The sequence below is a fragment of the Homo sapiens genome, chromosome 22 (assembly GCF_000001405.40).
Source record: "Homo sapiens chromosome 22, GRCh38.p14 Primary Assembly".
Classification (NCBI taxonomy): Eukaryota; Metazoa; Chordata; class Mammalia; order Primates; family Hominidae; genus Homo; species Homo sapiens.
The window spans coordinates 20,320,094-20,332,007 of NC_000022.11; the positions used below are offsets into that span (position 1 = coordinate 20,320,094).

The 11,914-nt window shown below is 46.0% G+C and overlaps 3 annotated features.

The window, feature by feature from the left end:
• Positions 4-133: a silencer, noted in NCBI's record as "silent region_13494". NCBI's record gives its function as "represses an Ori minimal core promoter by ATAC-STARR-seq in GM12878 lymphoblastoid cells {active_cell/tissue: GM12878}" and the evidence as "EXISTENCE:reporter gene assay evidence [ECO:0000049][PMID:35858748]".
• Positions 253-1,040: an enhancer, noted in NCBI's record as "H3K27ac-H3K4me1 hESC enhancer chr22:20307869-20308656 (GRCh37/hg19 assembly coordinates)". NCBI's record gives its function as "activates a minimal SCP1, AML or CMV promoter by ChIP-STARR-seq in naive H9 embryonic stem cells {active_cell/tissue: H9 hESC(naive)}" and the evidence as "EXISTENCE:reporter gene assay evidence [ECO:0000049][PMID:30033119]".
• Positions 324-373: a silencer, noted in NCBI's record as "silent region_13495". NCBI's record gives its function as "represses an Ori minimal core promoter by ATAC-STARR-seq in GM12878 lymphoblastoid cells {active_cell/tissue: GM12878}" and the evidence as "EXISTENCE:reporter gene assay evidence [ECO:0000049][PMID:35858748]".

Sequence of the window (11,914 nt, forward strand, 5' to 3'; positions counted from 1 at the left end):
CGCGCTCCGCCCCCTTTTACGACAGTCCCGAGAGGGCCTGGCCGCCTGCCCCGCCCTGCCCCGCGCCCCGCCGCCTGCTTATTCAGGAGGCGCGCCCCGCTCCTCTGCGGAGACTCCAAGGAGGGTTTTGCTCAGCCCAGGCTCGCACCTGCCTGCTCCCCGCGCGACATTAAAGGCGAGACTCCGCCGTCTGGATATCGCAGGACCACGGAGAATCCCACCGGCCCTTGCTGAGTCATTGCGGGCCGAGGTCCGGGCTCCGCGCCGGCGCGCCTGCGAGGTGGACTGTCCCGGTCACCGGCCTCCCCAGAGGCAGGGGTCTCGGGCCAGAGCCCACAGGACCTGGGTCTAAGGCACCATCCGCGGCCGAGCAGTGGCGCTGGGGTCTGTCTGCGTCCTCCCCGCCCCCGGGGTGAGACAGACAGGACCGCCCTAGAGCCTCTGGGTCAGGACAGTCGGAGCCAGAGTCCCCATCTGGGCCTCCGTGGCCCCCAGCCCGTGAGCCCAGACTGCGCTCTCCCCGCTCCACAGGCCAGCTGCTGGGCCGGGGCTGGGGGGCTTCTGGTGGCTGGGGCTGAACCGTCTAGGAACAGGCTTTAATAGGAGGGGCTCGGGTGGAGGAATGGCTCCTGCAAAGGCCCTGCCAGAGTCAGGTCAGGTGGGTGGGCGAGAGGACCAGTGTGGCCAGGCTGCGGAAGCCAGCACAGGAGACAAGGGCGGGTGCTGTGCATTACAGAGGCTGCTGGGGGCTTGTCCATAGAGCAGCAGGGGGCACGGAAGGGCTTGGGGACGCAGACACGATCAGACTTGCATTTCATCAGGCACTCTTTAGCTGCCTGCTGGGTGGCTGGGCTGTGTGAGATGACCCTGCTTTGACCAGGTTAGGAATTATGACTGGTTTCCAGAGAGAACATTGGTTAGTAATTGGCTATGGGGAAGAGGGGGCGTTGAGCCAACCAACTGGGGTCCCCCTGAAGTGCCAGCAAAGTGTCTGGTTTTCTCCAGGATCTGTTTCCTCAGTCCCTGGCAGGATTGGCTCCCCTGCACGCCATGTCCTTGTGGTCCCTTCCAGACAGAAACCAGGCATGAATAAAGTGAATAATGACAAGCGCTCAGGCCACTGCCGTGGAGGGCGGTCCACAACCCAGAGCTGGTCATGCGCCGGGCACCCTGGCCTCCAGGTCCCTCAGAATGGCAGGAGCTGGAGGTGGGACTCGAGATTGTGGGAGCTGAGTCTGTAGTGAGTGACCAGGAGCCAGCTGGGGCTGGGCTTGGTCACTGTCACCTCCCCCGGAGGTGGTGAGTGGGATGATTAGCTGGGTGAAGACGCCTGCCTGTTTCACCAGTGTCCCTGCCCTCAGTCCCCCAGTCCATGAAGAGTGTCTGTGTGGAGACTGGGAGGATATAGGGCAGCCCCACGTGATGATATGTCTGTGGCCAGCTGGGCAACACTGTCGCCAGCTCCGGGGTCTGCCAGGTGGGGTGGGGGCTGTGAGCCACAGCAGGAGCAGGCCAGGCCTGGGTTTGGACACCTGCTCCTCTGCCTTGTCCGGGTGCTGATGCAGGAAGGCCCCTTCTCCAACCCTTGGTGCAACGTCTGACCTGAACCAGCTTCCCCAGCCCAGCAACACTGCTCCCCTAATGTGGATGTCAACCTAAAGAAACAAACTGAACCACAGTTCATATAGAGAGTTTGTCTGGGCCAAGGCTGAGAGAGCTGCCCAGGACACACCAAGTTGCCCTGGGAGTGCTTCATTCAGCCTTATTACAAGCAAGTTTTTAAAGACTGAAGGGGACAAGGAGTGGGCTGATATGAAGTCAGCAGGAATTCTGACTGCTTTCCAGAGAGAACCCTTAGTGACTGGCTATAAGGTGTTGGACTACTGGGTAAGAGTTATGGTGTCCAGCGTATGGCTTTTTATGCCTACTTGGTGTCAGTCTGGAACCCACAGAGCAATTGGCTTCAAGAGGTCGTTAGCTCAAGTAGGAGTGGGATGTGACTGCTGTTTCATTCCAGTGCCTCTCTGGGCCAGATAATTAAAGGGAGCTCACATTCCTCAGATAAAAAAGTTCCTTTCGCATTAGGAGAAATACGTAATGTAGATGATAGGTTCATGGGCACAGCAAACCACCATGGCACGTGTATACCTATGTAACAAACCTGCACGTTCTGCACATGTACCCCAGAACTTAAAAGAATATATATATGAATATATATATATACTTTATACATATATATATAAACTTCCATTGTGCGCGCGCGCACACACACACACACACACACACACACACAAAGTTCCTTTTCTTTTTCATGGACATGAGCAGTATGTCACTCAGGCATGGGGACTCCTGGGCCACCTCTGGGTCTTCAGGGAGGGCCTGGTCTGGAAGGAGGGGTCTCATCCTCCAGAGCCCCAGGGATGGGTGATATATGTGTAGGAATGGGGGAGCTGGTTCGCAGACGTGCGTTTCCCCTGTGTGTGTGGACACGATGGGCCCCATGGCTCTTCCCGTCGGGTGGTATCCACCGAAGGCCTTTGCTCTGCGGCCACTGTCCACCTCCACTTGGCCTCCCGAGTCCACCAGGCTGGCTGGTGACACCTTGGGTTAGTGTGGGGTGACTGGTGTGTGTTGGGGAGCTGCAGGTCCCCTGTCTCTGACACAGCTGTGTCTGGGCAAACACCAAGGTTTGAAGGAGTGGGTGCCTGTGTGTGTGTGTGTGTGTGTGTGTGTGTGTGTGCGCGCACGTGTGTCAAAAGGCTTTGCTGCATGCCTTTTGTGTGGCTCTTTGTCACATGTGCCTTTCTGTGTTTCTCTGTGAGTTTTCATGTGTCAGGTTGTATGTCTGTTGTGTGGGCGGAGAAACAGCTCTGCTGTGGGGCCCTGAGCCATTGCAGGATCCCCATAGGCCATGCAGAGGTGCACACAGCACCTGACCTAAGCCTGCTCCTCCCAGAACATCAGGCTGCACCCAGGCCACCGCTCACTCCGTCTGTCTCCCGAGACTGTTCCTCACTTCCTGCCTCACTGGCCCTGGTGAGGGTGAGGCTCCCTGCCCCCGGCCCTCAAAACAGAGCTGCAGATGAGGACGCCACCCAGCTGCAGTGTCAAGGGGCTCCTCCACAGTGGGTGTCCCGCAACGCATGCTCTCTGACCCCTTTTGTTTCAGTGTTGTCCTTTTTAGTGTGTGGCACCAGGACAGCAGGGAGCTGCCACCTCAGGCTTCTCTTATTTTCACTCTGTGAGTAATAAGGTCTGAATGAGAGGGGCTCATTGTGTCTTTACTGTCAAATCAGTCAGGCCTTGGCCTTGGCATGTCTTGCGTGTGCTTGACAAATGTATTGCTCATGGGGTCTGGTGGAGGCACAGCACCCTTTTAGAAGACAGGGTCTGTGCGGACCAGTTACGGGTGACATTTCCTAGGCACAGCTCTTGCCTAAGTGGTGTGGGATGGGAGGAGGGCGGGGCTTCCCACTGTCCCACCAGCAAAATGGGCTGTGTGGCCAGCTCCTCAGGACCCGAGAGCATTTGCTCCAGGTTGATAAAATGTTGCGGTGTTGGGTGGCAAGAGTAGGATTGAAACCAGCCACCCAGTTGGTGCTTTGTTACCATCAGAAGTGTTTGCTGAGTCAAAGCAAATGGCCACTCAAAACTGAGTGGGCTGAGTGTGGTGACTCACACCTGTAATCCCAGCACTTTGGGAGGCCAAGATGGGCAGATGGCTTGAGGCCAGGAGTTCAAGACCAGCCTGGGCAACAGGGTGAGAGCCTGTCTCTACAAAAAGTTTAAAAAATTCGCTGGCATAGTGGCATGTGCCTGAAGTCCCAGCTACTTGCCACTTGGGAGACTGAGGTGGGATCACTTGAGCCCAGGAGGTCCAGGCTGCAGTGAGCTGAGATCACACCACTGTACTGCAGCCTGGGCAACAGAACAAGAATCAAATAATAAATAAGTAAGTAAGTGAGTAAATCCATCCATCCACCCCAGAGTGAGTCAGCTGGGGCTGCTGCATTGCTCCTCCCTCACCCACAGGATTCCCTGGTTCCAGCCAGGAGACGATGGTCAACAGCCACTGCTGTAGTGGTGCCTAGTTAAAACTCTTTGGTTTCTGTCTCTGTAAAAAAAAGTGTCTAATTGCATTTGGGCAAAAAACTTGCAGTGAAGAGAGAAAAAGAGATGAAAGCAACCTGTGAGGGAGGCTCGGGTTGACGTGCGGCATGTGCTGTTTGAGTGTGATGAGTGTGTCGGTTTGCACTGTAGATGCTCAGGAAGTGAGGATATGTGGAGTGCTGACTGTATACATGATGCCTCCACTGGCTGGCTGAGTAGAGTTTCATGAAACAATGTTGGTGGACTCAGCCCTGAATCCCTCAGGCATTCAGAGAGCAACCTCTGTCTTTTTTTTTTTTTTTTTTTTTTTTGAGATGGAGGCTCGCTCTGTTGCCCAGGCTGGAGTGCAGTGGTGCAATCTCGGCTCGCTGCAACCTCTGCCTTCCGGGTTCAAATGTCCTGGCTTTAATTTCACAGATTCTTTCTTCTGTTTCTTCTGTTTGATCAAGTCTGCAATTGAAATTCTCTATTGCATTTTCATTTCATTCATTTATTTATTTTTATATATTTTTGAGACAGAGTCTGTGTCACCCAGGCTTGAATGCAGTGGTGCCATCTTGGCTCACTCCAACTTCCACCTCCCGGTTCAAGCGATTCTCCTGCCTCAGCCTCCCTAGTAGCTAGGATTACAGGCATATGCCACCATGCCTGGCTAATTTTTGTATTTTTAATACAGATGGGGTTTTGGCATGTTGGCCAGGCTGGTCTTGAACTCTTGACCTCAAGTGATCCGCCTGCCTCGGCCTCCCAAAGTGCTGGGATTACAGGAGTCCGCCACGGCACCCAGCTTGCATTTTCATTTTATTCATTGTATTCTTCAGTTCTAGAATTTCTGTTTGGTTCTTATTATTTCTGTATCTTTATTGAACTTTTAGTTTTGTTCATCTACTATTTTCTTGATATTATTGAGTTGATATATACATTCTAGTAAATTTCACTGAGCTGTCTTAAATCAATTATTTTGAATTGTCAGACAATTTGTAGATCTCTATTTTTGGGGGGTTGATTACAGGAGATTTATGAGTTTATTTTGGTAGTGTCATATTTGCTGATTCTTCATGATCTACAGACTTTCATTAATGTCTATGAAGAAGCAAATACCTCTTCTTTTTTTTTTTTTTTTTTTTTTGAGACAGAGTCTTGCTCTGTCACTCAGCTGGAGTGCAGTGGCGTGATCTCAGCTCACTGTAACCTCCACCTCCCAGGTTCAAATGATTCTCCTGCCTCAGCCTCCCAAGCAGCTGGGATCACAGGCATGTGCCACCACGCCTGGCTAATTTTTTTGTATTTTTTGTAGAGACAGAGTTTCACCGTGTTGTCCAGGCTGGTCTCAAACTCCTGGCCTCAAGTGGTCTGCCCGCCTTGGCCTCCCAAAGTGCTGGGATTACAGGTGTGAGCCACCATGCCCAATCTCTTTCTGTCTTTATAGATTGGTTTCAGCAGGTACAAACCTTTTCCTGCTGGATCCCTTGACTGGATCACAGTCAAGTGGGCCTGGAGCCATATCACATGGCTGCTGCCTGGTCTGCAGCTGAATCTCTGATTGGCAGGCCTGCTATCAAGGCATAGGTTAGTGATGCAGTTTCTGCTGGATCCTCAGGAGAACTGGACTGCCTCTGATACCCTGATTGAACAGGACTGGAGCCAGGTCATGGGGCCACTTCTAGTTCTACAGTCAAGTCTTCAGATATCAGGCCTATTACCAAGGGCATGGACTGGTATAGCTCCCTGTGGGTCCCAGATTGAGCTCCTGCTGGTTTACTAGGTAGGTCCATGGGAAGACAGGACTGCCTCCAGACCACAGTAGAGCAGGGCTAGAGCCAAGTCACAGGACAGCTTTGGTGACCACATTTGGGTTCAAGATTGGTGGTCCTCTTATTAGGAGAATGGATGGTATGTCTTTCACCAGGTCCCAGGATGGGCTGGACTGTGCCCAGACGGGCAAAGCAAGACTGGAATGGAGTCACAGGGCTACTTTAGTGTCCATAGCTGACACTGAGATCAGCAGGCCTGTTACCAAGGGCATGTAAAGGCATCACTGAATTCCTGGGCAGGCAAGACTGACTGTGGTAGAGTGGGGCTGAAGCCAGGTCAGGGCTGCTTTAGTTTCTGCAGTCAGGACCATGGTTAGAAGGCCTGTTACTGGGGGCATAAATGGTCATGGTTCCTCCTAGGTGCTTAGTGGATGGGGCTAGTTGCAAGAACATGATCTAGTGGAGCTGGACCCAAGTCCATAGGAGGACAAAGCTGCTTTCAGTCTGCAACTGGGAACCTGTCACTGGTGTGTGGACCTGCCTTCTCAAAGCAGCTCTCCTTGGTTTTGGGCTTTGCTAGAGTTTTGCCACCTCCTGCCTGGATATTAAAACTCTTGCAAAGGCAGTTTTGTCCATGAATGGCTCCAGATCATTGTTTGTGTGGGGAGAGGTGAGTGGAGGGCCTCCTGTTCTGCCATCTTGCTGATGTCACCCTAAGATGATTATTTGAATTCTTTGTCAGGCAATTTGTAGATCTTCATGTCTTTGGAGTCAGCCACTGGAGTTTCATTTTGTTTCTTTGGTGGTGTCATATTTTCTCATGCTTCCTGTTCTTTGAAGACTTAGATTGCTTTCTTCATGTTTGAAGAAGGAGTCATCTTTTCCACTCTTTACTAACTTCAGGAGAGAAAGACCATCAATTAGCTAAGCTATAGATTCTGGGGGTCTCTCAGTCCTTTTCTGTGGGTGGTCCTTCCCTTTTAAGGGGGATGTCTTAGGATTTTGTCCCTTGTCTTCATTTCACAAATGAATAAAACAACCAGACCAGACATAAGTAAAGGAATACAGCACTTGAACAACACCTGAAAAAACAACTAGACCTAACAGACATACACAGGATATTCTACCCAACAACATAATACACATACTTCTCAAGTATACATGGGACATTTTCAGGATAGACCATATAACACATCACAAATTAATTCTCAATAGGGGCTGGGTGCAGTGGCTCACGTCTGTAATCCCAGAGTAATTTGGGAGGCTGAGGCGGGTGGATTGCTTGAAGCCAGGAGCTTGACATCAGCCTGGCCAACACGGTGAAACCCCATCTCTACTAAAAATACAAAAATTAGCTGGGCATGGTGGTGCGTGCCTGTGATCCCAGCTTCTTGGGAGGCTGAAGCGTGAGAATTGCTTAGGAGCCCAGGAGGTTGAAGCTGCAGTGAGCAGAGATTGTACCACTGTACTCCAGCCTGTACTTCATGACAAAGAAAATGTACCATTGTACCACTGACAGAACGAGACCCTGTCCCAAAAAAGGAAAAAAGCTCAGTAGATTTAAAACGATAGACATCATACAAAGTGTCTTCTCTGACCACAACAGGATAAAGTTAGAAATCAATAACAGAAGATTTTAAAAAGTTCACAAATTAGTAGAATTTAAACAACACACTCTCAAACAACCAATGGATCAAAGAAATCACAAAGAAATTATAAAATTCTTAAAGACAAATGAAAATGAAAGCACACTATATCCAAACTTATGGGTTGTGGCCAGTTGTGGTGGCTCACACCTGTAATCCCAGCACTTTGGGAGACTGAGGGAGGTGGATAGCTAGAGGTCAGGAGTTCAAGATCAGCCAGGCCAACATGGTGAAACCCCGTCTCTACTAAAAACACAAAAATTAGCTGGGAGTGGTGGTACGTGCCTGTAGTCCCAGCTACCCAGGAGGCTGAGGCATGAGAATTTCTTGAACCCAGGAGGCAGAGGTTGCACCACTGAGCTAACACCACTGCACTCCAGCCTGGGTGACAGAATGAGACTCTGTCTCAAAAAACAAAGAAACAACAAAAAACCACAACTTATGAGTTGTGGTGAAAGGAGTGCTAGGGAGGAAATTTATAGCTATAAACACATTAAAAAAAGAAACACCTCAATTCAACAACATAAGTTTACACATTAAGAAACTAGAAAAAGAAGAATGAAACTAAACCCAAAGTTAGCAGAAGGAAGGAAACAATAGAGATCAGGGCAGAGATAAATGGAAAAGAGAATAGAAAAACAATAAAAAACAAAACCAAAAGTTGGTTCTTCAAAAAGATTAATAAAACTGACAAGACTACACTTTGGGAGGCCGAGGCGGGCGGATCACGAGGTCAGGAGATCGAGACCATCCCAGCTAAAACGGTGAAACCCCGTCTCTACTAAAAATACAAAAAATTAGCCGGGCATAGTGGCGGGCGCCTGTAGTCCCAGCTACTTGGGAGGCTGAGGCAGGAGAATGGCGTGAACCCGGGAGGCGGAGCTTGCAGTGAGCCGAGATCCCGCCACTGCACTCCAGCCTGGGCGACAGAGCGAGACTCCGTCTCAAAAAAAAAAAAAAAAAACTGACAAGACTAAGGAAAAGGGAAACAATCTAAATTACTTAAAACAGAAATGTATTTGAGAATATCTTTATATATTTCTGTCTGTCTGTCTGTCTGCCTGTCTATGTTTTAGAAACAAGTGTCTGTCTATGTTTTAGAGACAAGGTCTAGCTCCATCGCCCTGGCAACAATCAGATGCAACCACAATCAGTGGCACAATCGGCTCACTGCAGCCTCGAATTCCTGGGCTCGCCACTATGCCAGCTCTTTTTTTTTTTTTTTTTTTTAAGAGACAGGATCTTGCCATGTTATCCAGGCTGATCTTGAACTCCTGGCCTCAAGGAATTTTCCCACCTCGGCCTCCCAAATTGTTGGAATTACAGGCATGACCCACCATTCCCAGCCTAGAAAGGATTATAAAAGATTACTATAAATAATTGTGTGCTCATAAATTGGATAACCCAGATGAAATAGATGAATTCCTAGACACACAAAACCTACCAAGACTCAATTATAAAGAAACAGAAAGTCAGAATAGACCTAACCTAGTAAGGGAATTGAGTCAGTAATAAGACAATCTCATGACAAAGAAAAGTCCTGGACCTGATAGCTTTACTGGTGAGTTCTGCCAAACGTTTAAAGAAGAACTAACACTGATTCTTTTCAAGCATTTCCAAAGAGTGGAAGAGGAGTGAATACCTCTTAACTCTTTCTATGAGGCCAGCATTACCCTGATACCAAAGCCAAAAACACTATAAGAAAATAAAACAACAGATCAATATGCCTCTGATCATTGATGCAAAAACTCTAAAAATACTAGCATACTGGGTGGGGCATGGTGGCTCATGCCTGTAATCCCAGCACTTTGGGAGGCTGAGGTGGGTGGATCACCTGAGGTCAGGAGTTCAAGACCAGCCTGACCAACATGGAGAAACTCTTGTCTCTACTAAAAATACAAAATTAGCCATGTGTGGTGGTGCATGCCTGTAACCTCAGCTACTCGGGAGGCTGAGACAAGAGAATCGCTTGAACCCGGGAGGTGGAGGTTGTGGTGAGCCGAGATCATGCCATTGCACTTCAGCCTAGGCAACAAGAGCAAAACTTTGTCTAAAAAAAAACTATCATACTGAATTCAGCATCATATTAAAAGGATTATACACCATGACCAAGTGGGATTTATTCCTGGAATGCAACGATGTTTCAATATATAAAAATTGATCCATATAAATTCAGACAATTAATTTTAACTGATGTATAGTTTCACATTATATGCACATACCACGATTTACTTTTCCATTTTCCTAGTAATGAGCTTTAAGATTATTTCCAATTTTTAGCTATTACTAATAATGTTTCAACAAACACCTTTGGACATCTCTTCTGCAAATGTGTGTGTATTCTCTTGGAGAAGGTTTACCTTGTGGAATTTCTAGTGTGTATGTGTATGTGTGTGGGTATATATATATACACATATGTATATATTTTCAACTTTACTATATATTTCCAAAAAACTCTTCAAAGTGGCAGATTTAAACTCCCCTTCGCCGTATATAAATTCACGGTTCCTAAAGCCCTTGGCATAGTTTTGTGTTTTTATAGAAAAGGGCATAAAGTCTTATTGCTGTTGAATTGTACCTTGCTCTTTTCAATTGTCTTTTCACAATAATTCACTATTTATCATCTGTTGTGAATATTGTGGAGTAGTTCTTAATCATTTTTTCTACTAAACTATTTTATATCATTAATTTGTAGAAATCCTCTTTATATAATGGATATTATACTTTTCAATTATATATTTTGTAAATATTTTACCCAATTTTCTGGCTTGCATTTAACCTTTATTTAGGATGCCTAGGATTTTTCATTTTAATACAGTCTAATTTATTTTTCTTTTCTTCTTCATGCATTCTGGCATTTGATTAATAAGCCATTTGTTGCCCAACGTCATTAGTTCTCTGTATATACTTTTAAATATCTTAAACATGTAATATTCATAAGTAATTTCACAAGTAGTTTAAGATTTGAGTCTGTAACCTAAATAGATACAGGATTTTGTGATATGCTGTAATATACAGATTTTTATTTATATATGGATAAAAATTTATATGTTTTTTCTGACAGCATTTATTGGATAGTATAATTTTTCTACTGACTTTTAGTATCATATCTTTTATTACAAGTCCAATGTATTCAGCATACCTATGGATCTATTTCTTGGTGCTTCCATTTTTTCCCATTGTTTAACGGTGTATCACTGAGCCAAAGCAAACCATTTTAATTATTATAATTAAAACACATTTAAATATTGATAGGCTATTATTGTTCAAAATAACTTTGGTTCTTCCTTTCCGTTGATTACTTTAATATGACTTTTCCAATCAAGTTCTAAAAAAATACTGGTGGTATATTTATTGAAATAACTTTAATAAAATTAAATGAAAGATCATGTATTTGTTTTCTGAATTAATTCTTAGATACATTAATGTTTTATGTTACCATGAATGTGATATTATAATATAATATTTTTAATTGGTTGCTACTGTTTATAAGAATTTCATTTTCTGTTTACTTTGCCTTCATATCTGAAAACCTTGCTGATTTGATTAGTGCATCCACAAATTTTCTTGGATTTTCTATGGGTAATTACAAATCTCCACACAATGAGGTTGCAGTGAGCCAAGATCACACCACTGTACTCCAGCCTGGGCGACAGAGTGAGACACCATCTCACAAAAACACATAAACAAACAAACAGAAACTCCACACAATGACAACGTATGTGTTTTCTTTTTTTCTTCCTCTTTCTGTAATATTTCTTTGTCCTATCTTAACTGAACTGGCCAGAAACCCCAGGACAATGATAAATACGAGCAGTGTCAACAGACATCTCATTCCCTTTCCTAGCTTTTATAAAAAATAACGATTATGCTTCAACATTACATATGGTGGTGTCGATGGTTTTGTTATAGATAAGCTTATCAGGTTAAGAAATTTGTCTGCTTTTCCTAGTTTGGTATAAAGATTTTAATATAAATGAATGTTGTATTTTACCATCTTATTTTTTTCCTACATCTGCTAAGATAATCCTGTGTTTTCCCTTTTTCAATCTCCTAATGTGGTGAATGACATTAAAATACCTTCTATTGTTAAAATATTCTTGCAACGCTGTATAGAACCAATGCCTTTATTCTGTATTGCTGATGGATTTTTGAAAAATATGTAGGTGGACTTAGTTTTCTAAGGGGAATAGAATTTCTAATATATTTAAAATATTTTGCATGTATGTTCTGAAGGACATTGGTGTGTCATTTCTATACCATCTGGCTACGAGAGGAGCCGACTGAAAGTCACACTGCCGGAGGAGGGGAGAGGTGCTCTTCCGTTTCTGGTGTCTGTAGCCATCTCCAGTGGTAGCTGCAGTGATAATAATGCTGCGGTGCCGACAGTTCTGGAAGGAGCAA